Here is a 12,289-nt window from a genome sequence, read left to right as displayed (position 1 = left end):
TTTCAGAGCATCTCTTTTGAACGGTGTTCCCAGGAACATACCTGGGCAGCCTGACACAAAGTGGGGGTCTGTCTGCCAGTCCCCAAGAGCTGGGGCAGGAGGGATGATGGATCTGACTGGAGTGAAACCAGGGCCTCTTCCATGTCATCCCCTGTCCTGGTTCCTAACAAAAGTGTTCACAACAGTGTGGGGCTCACCTGGTCACTCCTCACAGCTGGAAACGTCTCATGCAATTTCAGACACCTGCTCAGCAGATCCAAGAAGCCCAGTGCCTGCCCTGGAAGGTAGGACTGGGCACAAGTACTTTCTCGTTCAAGCTGCAGACCTCTCGCATTCTAATGGGTCTATGTGGGGTCTATGATTGTTTTGGGGGGTTGAATCTTCTTCCCCTGAAAACCTGAAAGTGATAAGCACAGGCTTCAAAGTAGATGGGTTCTCAGTGCTGAGCCTGCAGGCAAGACAGGTCCTGGCAGCCATGTGCCTCCGAGGCCTCCCCACTCACAATACCCACTTGGACCATGGCAGCTCCTCCACTGCCCCTGACTCTCCACTCACAATATCCCCTTGGACCATGGCAGTTCCTCCACTGCCCCAGCTCCCTGCTTCCACACCCATACCTGCATTTTCCTAGCCAGTTAACCCAAGTATATTGCTCCCTATAAGGACCTTTAAGCTCAACTAGTCCAGAATGTCCAAGGGCAGATATGTGAGGTTTGTGGGGACACAGGCTAGCTCAGGAAGGTGTAGCCAACACCACCGGAAGATGCTCCAGGCAGCGGAATGGCTCTTGGCCCAGGTGCTGATGAGTCAAACTCCCAGTGACTGGCCAGGTATCTGGGTGGCTGAGAATTCATGAGGTCTTGATGGCTGGTGCTACCCAAGGCCCTAAAGTCTAGAATCTAAAGGTGGGAGTTTGGTAATTCACAGGTTCTAAGAAGACCCTATTCTCACTTCCTCTCCAGCCAAATCCTCTTCCCACTATCTGATGTGAGGCCCATTCACAGCAGCAATCTTCTGGCTTAAAAATATTTTTTTTTTTGCTTTACATTTTTAAAATTGTTCAGATATATATGCCCTTGAGAGGGATGTCCCTTTCAGCCTTATAGGGCATCTAGACCTCAGGATGAATTCATGGCTGCGGTAATGAAGAACCTGCAGTGAGAATGTGGAGATTCTGTGTAACTGTGGGCTAGGTGAAAGAATGGATAGTGGCAGGGAAATCTCAGGGGAGGTGAGCAGAAGAGACCATCCAAGTCTGCCTAGGCCCCAGCCACTCTCCCTTACAGCCCTGTTCTTTAAACTCTTTTCCACTTCCCTTTCTGAAGAAAGCACAAAAAAGAGGCATTTACATCTAGGTGCTTCTGCCACCACATGCAATGGCGTTTCTTCTCCTTTCCAGTCATACATCAAGACCAAGCTGAAATGCCACCTTGTCAGTGAAAGTTTCTCCCCGTGCCCCACAGCTCTTTGAATTGTGTGACTGTATTATTTCTTCTCCTATTTAAATCAAGAAACTATATCTTGAAAGCAGGAGTTTTGCTCATGTCTCTACTGGCAGTGCTTAGCAGAGCCCATGGTATATAGTAGGAGCTTAGTCAATGTTCAATGCAGGTAAGAATGAACATGAGGCATTCACTAAGGAGCCATTACAAAGACAGGGCTTTGCTCACCCACTCTGGCCTGAGCCATGGCTCCTGCTCACTCCCACCCTTGCAGGCTGCCTCCGAGGCACCACTCCCATTTCTTCCCGACAGCAAAACTTCACACCCCAAAGCAATGGCTCTGCTACATCCCCAAAGTGAAGAGCCTAGACGGCAAATAACACCCACCCACCAGTCAAGCTAGTGCCCCTCAACCTGGCAGACTGGACAAAGACATGACTTAGAAAGGTCAAAGGGAGCTCCGAGTCGCCACGGCCTCAAAGACCATCACCCTTCATGGCAACCACAATCAGGGACAAGATGGAAGTCTGTCCAGGACTCTGACTCTCTGTTCTAGAATTCAGTGACACTCATTACACTCTGTGCCTGACACTGTGCATATTTTAGGGAAGAATATCTATCCCTGGTATCCAGATTGCTTGTGTTTTGAAATCTTGAACAAATGGAGATGATGGGGCAGTAAGGACTGGGAGCCCCAGGGCAGGACCTTGCCTGCCTCACTCACCACTGTACTTGGCACACAGTGGGGCCCCGGTAACTGTTATTTTATTAATAAATTAATATTCAATTGATAAATGAATCATACAGGGAAACTAGAGCCAGAGGTATCCTTACAAAAGGTACCCACACTCTCCACACTGTATACCCATTTGAACTTTTTATACTGTCCACTGTAGACACACATGACCTATTTAAAAAAGAAAATAAACCAGCATACATGGAAGATCCCTTTCATGTTTAAAAAAAAAAAGAGAAGGCCAGGTGCGGTGGCTCACGCCTGTAATCCCAGCACTTTCAGAAGCCGAGGTGGGCAGATCACGAGGTCAGGAGATCAAGATCATCCTGGCTAACACGGTGAAACCCCATCTCTACTAAAAAAAATACAAAATGTTAGCCAGGCATGGTGGCACGCACCTGTAGTCCCAGCTACTCAGGAGGCTGAGGCAGGAGAATGGCGTGAACCTGGGAGGCAGAGCTTGCAGTGAGCTGAGATCGTGCGACTGCATTCCAGCCTGGGCAACACAGCAAGACTCCGTCTCAAAAAAAACAAAAACAAAAAAAAAGAGAAGGGAGAGAACAAGAAAAAATTCTGTCTTGCTGGAAGGATGATGAGTCTTCTCTCGGTAGCAGGGTTATTTTCACTTTCTTCTTTACTCCTCTAACCATTTTCTGAGTGTTCAAATGAGCATGTGTTCATTTATCACTACAAAATCAATTAAAGCTATATGTATCCTGAAAAGAACAAATCAACACAAAAACCCATCCCAACCTGAGAGTGAGGAGGAATGCGATGGCCAGAGAAATCAGAAAAAGACTTCGGAGAGGATTAAATGCAAGAGAATGAAGGGACCTGGCCAAAATGAGGAAATGACCATGAAACCACTTTGAAACTTGCAAAAGACATCTTCCTTCCTGCCTTCCCTCCTGTACCAGCTCACTGCTCACTAGAGGCCTCATTTCATAAACTTTACTGGCAATCTCCTCAAACACCCCTTCACTCCTCGTTCCCTCTGAGCCCATTAATGAGGACCTGTGTTGCTCCAACTCTCTTTCTAGTCTAGCAGTTTCAAGACAATCATTAGGGAAATGATAAAAATAGGTTCACTTATTGATTTATCTCCTTTACCCAATGCTCCTTCCTTTGAATGGTTGACTTGTTTCCTTAGCAACATGGCTAATTTGAGCAGCACGACGTGGCCTGCACACCTGCCATTTGTTCATTTCCTTCTTGAAGCACAGAAAGCTGGGGCAAGGGTGGTGATGCTGGTTCTGCTGTCACCGGAGCCCTGGGGGCCTGGCCTGGAGCTGAGCTCTTCATCTGCCTGAGCCTGAAAAGCCTCCTCATCATCACCTCTCAGGTACAGATCTGTAGGTACATGCTTGGGAAGGACTTAGGCCTCAGGCAGTAAATATTGGGTGTCCCCAGGCAAACATGCATCTCTATCACCACCAGGGGGCTCATCCTGAAGACCTCTGTACTTAGCTGTCTCCTCCCAGAGCCTATGACATCCGAACACTAAGAAGGCCATGCTCTGACAGGCAGGCAGATAGAATGCTGTGCACTCTCCCAACTTCAGCCTAATGCAGAATATGCTTTTGTGGGGAGCAGTCGGTGGGCACTCAGGCACTTCCTGGAAACTCCTGGGGGGGTATAGAAGAGTCCACAGTCTGAGGGGAGGCATTCCTCAGCCTCCTTTACCCATTTCCACCCCTCACCCCAGACCCTACAGGAAGACCTGTCTCCTTTTCTCCCTTCAGTCTCATGTTTTTGGATGTCTAAATCCAAGAGATGTAACAGCCTCAGAGGATGGCATGGACACCTTCATGCATGTCTTTCCACCTCTTCTTCATGTGCACATAAATATCATCCTAATAAGTGGACTTTGACTCAAAGACAGTAACAGAGAAAGAGCCTTAACTAGTCTGTGATTCCCTATTAGCATGACACCAAATAGACATTTTACATATGAACAGGAATGAAATACAGCTATCCAAGCCTTCCGTGTAACTTCAGAATCTTCTTCAAGACCTGGAATGCAATGGAAAAAATGTAGCTTGGTAAAGGAAACCAGAGCCAGGCCTCCGACTGCAAAAGCTGTCCCAACACAGTACTCAAGAGTCAATGAAGGGTTATGACCATCCATTCCCACAGAACCAAACAAGAAATACAAAAGGACTGAAGCCTAAAATGATACCGGAATCTGAACTCCCTCTGAAAACTGTAAAGTGTTGCACAAATACAGTTACTTTCAGTATCCTACTAACTCAATCTTTCAGCATCTACTGTGGCTCAATACTTTGGGGAAAGCATCTGTTGGTGGTTACAGCCTCCAGCCCTCAGGAGTGGGCTGGCTGGCTGTAGCCATGGACTGACACAGAGGAGACCAACTCCAATAAAGGATTTAAAAGAAAATTATGGTAATGGGCCTCCAGGAAAAGAGCAAAGACATTTGGCCCAGAACCTCCTGAGAATATGGAAAGCGCATCCAAACACCAGTCCCCAGAGGAGGATTTATGAAGCTGATGGCTCTGATGCAATCTCTCCCAGTGATTAGAAGGGATATTAATCACACCCCAGGCCAGGGCTAAGAACAGGAGGGGTTGAACCATCACAGAAGTCTGGCTCCAGTTCCCACAGACCCTGATGGAAATGCAGTGAGATCATGCTGGTGAGATCATATGACCCTCGTCTGAGCCGACTGAGAAAGATACATCTGTCCTGGAGGGACGAGTAATGCCGAAGACATAAGACCTTGTGCCTAAAACCCAGACATAGCAATAGTTATGACCATCACTTCAACAGTGTGTCTGCATCCCTCATGGTCTTCCTCACCTTCCTAGAAGCAGACATTCTTACAGAAATCTCTGCTTCCTAACCTGTCTACACAAAAGGAAAATTCAAACCAGCCCTGTTCAAACAGGCCTGGCCTGGCCAGGCACAGTGGCTCACGCCTGCAATCCCAGCACTTTGGGAGGCCGAGGCGAGTGAATCACTTGAGGTCAAGAGTTCAAGACCAGCCTGGCCAACATGGTGAAACACTGTCTCTGCAATTAATACAAAAATTAGCCAGACATGGTGGTGGGCACCTGTAATCCCAGCTACTTAGGAGGCTGAGGCAGGAGAATAGCTTGAACCCAGGAGATGGAGGTTGTGGTGAGCCGAGATCATACCACTGCACTCCAGCCTGGGGGACAGGGTGAGACTCTGTCTCAAAAAACAAAACAAAACAAAAAAAGAACAAGCAAGCAAAAACAGCCCTGGCCAGTCCAGCTCCCTTCCTGGAGGGATGTTTCACATTTTCTCCAGATCATGGCATAAAGTAGAAGTCAGTATGAGGTAAAAAGATGGAGAGCCAAGAGGGCTTTCTAATGCCTCTCAGCAAGCCGCTCCACCCTGCCCAGGTGAGAGGGCCCAGGTTAAGAGATAAGCTATGGTGCAAGGAGTCTTGGCCCAGGGCTCCTTCTGGACTTCTTTGCACTCACTCCTATGGCTGCCCTGGCAGGACATGGCAGCCCAAAAGAGACCAGCCCAGAAAAGGGAATAAACAGACAGAACTATTCCTGGAGATTCTGAGGAGCTATAGATGAACTTTTCAATTCTCTGAAAATAAATGTTAACCTTCCAAATTTATCAATATATGGACTATCTTCCTATTTGGGTAGTCCATACTTTTAGGTTTCCTGGGTCTGTTCTGGGCTGATCAACAGAAGGTGAACCACACATCACCTCCAAAGGGCAAGAGGGCTAAACCCCTGTGTTTCTCCATGTGACAGTTAGCAGTGTACAACTCTGGCTGCAAACCTGGAAGTCCACCCTGCATACCCCTCCCATCCCCTCTCTAACCACGGCAGGAGACATGCACTGTCAACAAGCAGAAAAACATGAAAGAAGGCTCTGCCTACTCCATACTGTCCCATGTCATCATCTCATTGCTTTCCTTGTGCAATTTTTCTCACCACCCAACCTCATCTTAAAAAAAAAGACTAAAAAACCAAACCCCTTTTCTTTTTTTAAAACAAAACAAAACAAAAATGTATCATGTGACTTCCAGCCTTAACATCAGTTTTTTAACTTTGGTTTCCATGGTGGTGGGATGCAACCTGCCATCGCCATGACAACAGCTGCCTCTGTTCAAATTCACCATCTGACAGGCAGTCCTGAACAGACACACACCTCTCTCCTTCTTAATCCCTCTCTCTCTCTCTCTTCCCCACTCCTGCTGTCAAGAAGATGGAAATGCCATCACACCTACTCCTAAAAACCTAATGAATGAAAGACAAATAAAGCAATATTGAGAACATAACAAAGAGGCAGAGAACTCCCCAAAAGGCCTTTTGTTTGCCAATACAATCCTGCTGCTCTCTCATGGAGGTCAGTGGACTCAGTTACTCAAAGCAAAAGATCCTAAGCATTACCCATTTAATGCTGGCTGTGAAGGCAAGTCCAAATTCTCATTACTTTAGACCAAAGAACTCCCATCTGACTCCCAGGACCCTGCCCTCTGGATAAAGTGGCTGAAAGGAAGTGCACATGATTGCTACTTTGGTGAACCAACACTGAGGTCAGTTCCAGACTCATCTGGGCCCTGATTCCCAAAGGATGGGAAGTGCTGGTTCTGAGAAAATAAGACAGTACTGTCTCCCTCCCTCCTCCCACTGCCATGCCCCTTGCAGTTACAGACAGCTGGATAAGTCTTAACAAATTCATTTGTTTTGCGTGTGACTGGATCCTGGACTCAAAACGCTGTCATTCAACACACAGTTTTGGTGAACAGCAGACAAATGATTGAACGCTACAGAAAAGGGAAAAAAGAAAAGGGGAGCATTAAAAGCCTCTGGAAGAAAACAAAACAGCAGTGGGAAAATTACCTGTTTCAGAAACGAGAATTTGTGTTTTGATGACACTCTGATGAATTGGAGCCCATCAAGAGTTCTGGCAGCAACGTGCATTTCAGGGAAGATGACTATGAGGTGCAATCAGCAACCCCACCCAAGACTACACCCCACTTCATATCAACACCAGCATCATGGAACTGAGACAGCATAAGAAAAATGAAAAGCCTTTTGTGAAAGAGTCCATAGATCACCTGTGGGAGAATGTTTGTTTTCCTCTGAAAACTCTGCAACTGTGCCCTGGCATTCAAAGACACCTACTGAGCCTGCAAACCACGTGAGATAATGTTGAAAGAACTAGGGATACTCAGCTTGGAAAGGGAAGACTTGAGAAATACATCACAGCTGCTTTCAAATATCTGAAGGGCTAGCTTGTAATAAGGGGCTCAGATGTTTTCTAAGTTATTATGGAGGCAAAGACTAAGACCCAATGTGCAGAGTACCCATCCGAAGACAGATCTGGAGCAATAAAGAGAAGAACTTCCACTGTTCCACAAGTGAATGGACTATTTTGTTAAGTAGAAAACTAAGTGTTGTGCTAATAGATGTTTAACTTCGGGGGAAAAGCCCCAATGTGTAGCATTTGCAAATTTCTGGGGTATAAATACTCTCTCCATGGCCAATTTCAAGCTACCATCTTGATATCACTGAACATGGAGTCTAGAAGAGACATACAGAGAGGACACTCAAGAGCTGGGACAAGCCAGTTTCAGCACAGCACTTATTGTGAGTTCCACATCCCCAGGGGAGTGTCAAGGATGTTAAGGCGGTGACTGCTGTATTCAATGGTAGTCATGCTGGATCAACCTTCATATGCATAAGGGGTGAACCAACCAGGTAGGAAGCAAGGTCAACAACTCTTAGTCACTTGCTCAAGGGCCTCCTGGGTGAGCCTTACTCTGTCCTTCAGCCTCAAATGGCCTCCTCAGCCAGACCTGCATTCAGGATGTCTGGTCCATCCCCCTCATCACAGAAGGCTGTTACCTGTGCAGCTGGAGGTGTGTCGGAAGCAGCCACAGGTGAATGGCTTTGTCAATGCAGTGACACATAAGAATTAATCACCCCATTCTCTCAGGCTAAATTTCAAGACACCCAGGCGGCTCCTGCTATTTCACCATAGCCTGCAAGAAAACTGAGAGGGAGCAGCCAAGACGTAATCAAAGTACACTCAAAAGAAACAGAAGGAAGTCAGGTAACTGGCTCCCCTCGGTCTAGAAGATCAGTGGATCTCAGCCATGGCTGGACCATAGAATCACCTGGAAAGCTTTTCAAAATTAAGAATACAGGGGTCCTATCTCCAGAAATTTGGATTTAATTTGTCTTGGCTGCAGTCTAGGTATCAGCATTTCTAGAAGTTCCCAGGCTTATTCTAATGTGCAGCCAGGCTTCGAATGCTGGAGACCAAGAAAGTTAATCGTGTCCTCCAATCAGCTGAAATAACAATGATGGAAACTAGAATCCCAGAGTCTCTACAGTGGGAACTGAAAGGCACCTTAGAGTCTTAGTAACTATTCCAACACACTCATTTTACAGATGTAGATGCTGAGACCAGGAAAGGAATGAGATTTTTCTAGAACCAGGGCTAGAAACCTCTCTGTACTCTCAGCCCTACACCCTGAAAAGCTTGGGAAAACTATTATCAGAATAATCAAATAAAATTCCCTGGTCTCTTAGCTCCAATAGAGAATTCTAAAAGAAAGGGATCTAAAGATCTTTTTATTTGAGCTGCTTCCTCCTTCCCAGGAGTACTCAATTGTTCTCAAAGAGCTACCTCTCAGGGCAGAGTCTGGATAGTTTGCCTTTCTTAGGGCTACTGAAGAGCCCAGCAACCATTCTGAGATGAGTGCTTGCCTAAGCATCCATCTATTCTCCCATCTGCTGAGATCTGCTCTTGGTTTTACACTGGGTAGAAGTCCATTGCCTATTGAGTTTTATATTATCATTTCACAAAGTTCTCCAGCAACATATTTGGGAAAGAAGAATATTAACCATTTTTCTGAGTCACTGTTACCAATTCTCACTGGATCTCTGCTGGTTGGCTTCACCTCTATGAATATCTTTCTCTTATCCATTCCTATTTTTTCTTACGTAAGTCCTTTCTTATTAGTCATGATCCTTATATCCAGCCTCCTATGCCCCAAACACCAAAAACATATACTTGCTAAGGATGAGGAAGCCCCAGAAGAGAAAGAAGGGACTAGAGAGAAGATGGTTGAGCACAGAAAGGGTACAGAGGAAAGAAGAGAAAATGTGACAAAAGGATGCTGGCACTTGGTCGCGGCCCTGGGTTCTAGGCTCTGCTCTGCCACTTATTGAGGCAAATCATTTAACCTCTATGGCCTTCAGTTTTCTTATGGATAAGTGTGAGTTTGATTCAAGTTTCTTTTTATTCTCTATAAATCTAATATTCTAGTATTCTGTTATGCTAATGAGGAACATGATGGGAAGGGAAATGGAGGAGAAAGAAAGAGCATACATGATTACAACTGAGAGAAGCCATTTTTGGTGAAATTACTAATGAGGAGATCCCACAATAGCATTCAAAAATGGAAATCCTGGCACACCCAGGGACATCTTGAAAGGGTCTAGAGTCCATGGAAATACTTCTAAATTGTCAAGCATAGGAGCTCCATGACCAGTTGGATTCGCTAGCAGCTTCTCTAACAGAGTTAAAGAAAAGCTAGAATCTTCACAATGGTGGCCTGGAAGTGAACCATTGTGGAAAAGCTGCCCTTTTCCACAAACCTACTATAAGCCTCTTCTATAGTCTTTATCAGGATATAAGAGTCTTTCTGCAGTCTCTCTATAACCCAACCCTCATTTCCTTAAAAAGCTGCATTCAGTATGTAAAATTTCAAGAGAAGGTCATGAAAGCTGCCACCTCCACACTATGACTCACACTATGGGTACCCCAGAACAGAAAGGACTGAGGGTAGACTTCTCTGAGAACCGGAAAAAAGAAAATGGACTTTCCATGCTAATATTGAAAGGGGAACTGGCATTTCCAAACCAAACGCGCTCTGCAGACAGATAAAGGAACTGCAGCAGTGGAGTTTTGGCGGGGGAAAGACAAAATAGCAAAGATCTCAGATTCCGACTCAAGCTCGCATTCCAGTGACCCAGGCCAGGATGTCTCAGGTCCATTTCATGATGACCATAATGATGGGAAAGAGATAGTTGCTCTTCTTCCATCTACTGATCCTTCACTCCTTCATGAGTTAGCCTCATACCCAGTGATGCTGCAGATGCATGCAAGTAGTTCACAGTGTCATCCTAAAAAGATACTCTGTTAGGGAAGAGTACCTGCTGGTCTTCTGGTCTAACCCAAGGCAGCATGAAACAATGGAAAGAGAGCAGCCAGTGGCACCAGTCAGACCACATCTATCTGTGACCTTAAGCTAATCATCTATAAAATGAGAACAATATCCACTTCACCCGGGGTTGGATTAAATGATACACTCCTCTAGAGCACACTGTAGAGTGCCTGTCATACAATAGGCATTCATTAAAGGTTAGTTTCCTCCATCCATTCTCAGGGATGCATATTGAGGAACAGAAAGCTCTCCAGGCCTGGAGGGAGGTCCTTATAGAATGGTGGTAAAATTATATGATAAAAAGACACGAAGGTAAGATAAAAAGAGAAATGGTAAGGCATATGATTATGCAGGTTGTTCTGCACCCAGCCTTTTTCACAGTGGAAGTATAGAAAGCTGTTAGAAGTTCTAATTTCCTAGAATCTATTCCTTTGCTTTGCTCTCCTGAGCCTGTCTACTGATGTTTGTGACAGAAATGAGCTCAGTCTTTCTCAGCCTGTACAGTCTTTCTGAGTGGGCATTTGTTACTCTTTAATCATCGCCAGGGAAAGAGGTTACCCAGAGATGTAACATCCTTATCCATAGAACTTCAGGTGGGGGGAGGTGGTGGGGCAGATGGTGATCTCAAAAATAAATAAATACCTCTCTATGAGAAGGGAGGGTGCTCTTGCCAAAATGCCCAGATCCTCGGATTGACATAGGCCCATATTCCTCAGACCTGCTCCCTCCTCATGTTACCACATCCACCTACTCACCCCACCTCCAGACAAGCCCACACCCTTCAACTGCTCCTCATATCAACAGACTAGAAGAACACATGCATCCTTGTGCATCCATATGGCTCAGTTATTTCACAAATACAAATTTCCATGCAAAAACAATCCAAAGTTAGCAGAAAGGAGAGGCAGTTCCTTTAACTTTTTAGGCCCACTCCTTAATTTCTTTTGAGTGCTCTGTCTGGTTTCCGGAAGCCAAGTGGTGCATCCTAATTCTCCATTCTCGTCCACACCAGTAAACATTTCCCACAGGTAAAATGCCCCTAATATCCCTAGCAGAGGACCTTCACCAAGCTCATTAGGCAAATTTCCAAGAGTCCCAAGCAATGGAGGTTTCCCCTTCCCCCCACAGCACCCTAACCCTTTCAGAAGCTTCCTCCACAGTTAATGAATTCCAATCTTTTCTCTCTTATCTGATAGAACAAACATAGAGGCCCTAAATACCCAAGAAGCCTAAGCAGATAGGAAGTAGTTAGCCAGGAGGCTGGCAACCCCCAGGAAGAAAATCTGCCCAGATGCCAAGGATCTAAAGGGGATCCTTCTACATGCCATCCATCAAGCCATCTGAAATTTTTTGCTACCATTTTTGTTCAAAGACAAAATCAAGTGAGTCTGTTAAGGTTATAGATCATTTTAAGTATCCTATCTGTTTTTATCAAAAGCTTTCTGGGAAAATTCTGCATCATTATTGCTCCTGAAGATATTTTTTCTGATTGTAAATCCAAATATGTCCTTAGGTACAATACTGGTATAAAATCAGCATTAGAAACATATAAAGGAAACAGGTTTTGATGTAGATATTTTAAATTTTATTTTTAAAAGTGTAAACCCAATAACTTTGAGAAGGAAGAAAAAAAGTCTTATGGAAAGACTATTTAGCTTCAGTGATTAAGAGCACGAGTTCTGATCCAGGCCTCCAGCTCTTACTGTGCGATCTCAGGGAAATGAGTTAACCTCTCCACACCTTAATCCTTCTAACTATGAAAGACAGAAAACAAGAATGCCTATCTCTGTAGGATTGTCATGAAGAATCAATGCAATAACTCATGGGCAGCACTTAGCACAGTATTCTGACACATAGTAAATGTTCAATAAGTGTTATATATTTATAAATTCTATCAACATTAACACTAATACTAATACC

At 45.1% G+C, this 12,289-nt stretch overlaps 1 protein-coding gene across 14 annotated transcripts in view, besides 3 other annotated features; it reads right to left on the bottom strand.

Moving 5' to 3' along the window:
* CACNA1E (calcium voltage-gated channel subunit alpha1 E) overlaps positions 1–12,289 on the bottom strand; it is a 490,386-nt gene that overhangs the window by 299,994 nt on the left and 178,103 nt on the right. The gene's annotated exons all lie outside the window — the stretch shown is intronic.
* Positions 2,597–2,826: an enhancer, noted in NCBI's record as "active region_2193". NCBI's record gives its function as "activates an Ori minimal core promoter by ATAC-STARR-seq in GM12878 lymphoblastoid cells {active_cell/tissue: GM12878}" and the evidence as "EXISTENCE:reporter gene assay evidence [ECO:0000049][PMID:35858748]".
* Positions 3,247–3,366: an enhancer, noted in NCBI's record as "active region_2192". NCBI's record gives its function as "activates an Ori minimal core promoter by ATAC-STARR-seq in GM12878 lymphoblastoid cells {active_cell/tissue: GM12878}" and the evidence as "EXISTENCE:reporter gene assay evidence [ECO:0000049][PMID:35858748]".
* Positions 9,939–10,088: an enhancer, noted in NCBI's record as "active region_2191". NCBI's record gives its function as "activates an Ori minimal core promoter by ATAC-STARR-seq in GM12878 lymphoblastoid cells {active_cell/tissue: GM12878}" and the evidence as "EXISTENCE:reporter gene assay evidence [ECO:0000049][PMID:35858748]".

The sequence above is a fragment of the Homo sapiens genome, chromosome 1, assembly GCF_000001405.40.
Source record: "Homo sapiens chromosome 1, GRCh38.p14 Primary Assembly".
NCBI classification, from domain to species: Eukaryota; Metazoa; Chordata; class Mammalia; order Primates; family Hominidae; genus Homo; species Homo sapiens.
The sequence above is the reverse complement of the archived record's forward strand: the minus strand, read 5'-3'. Positions and strand labels throughout refer to the sequence as shown.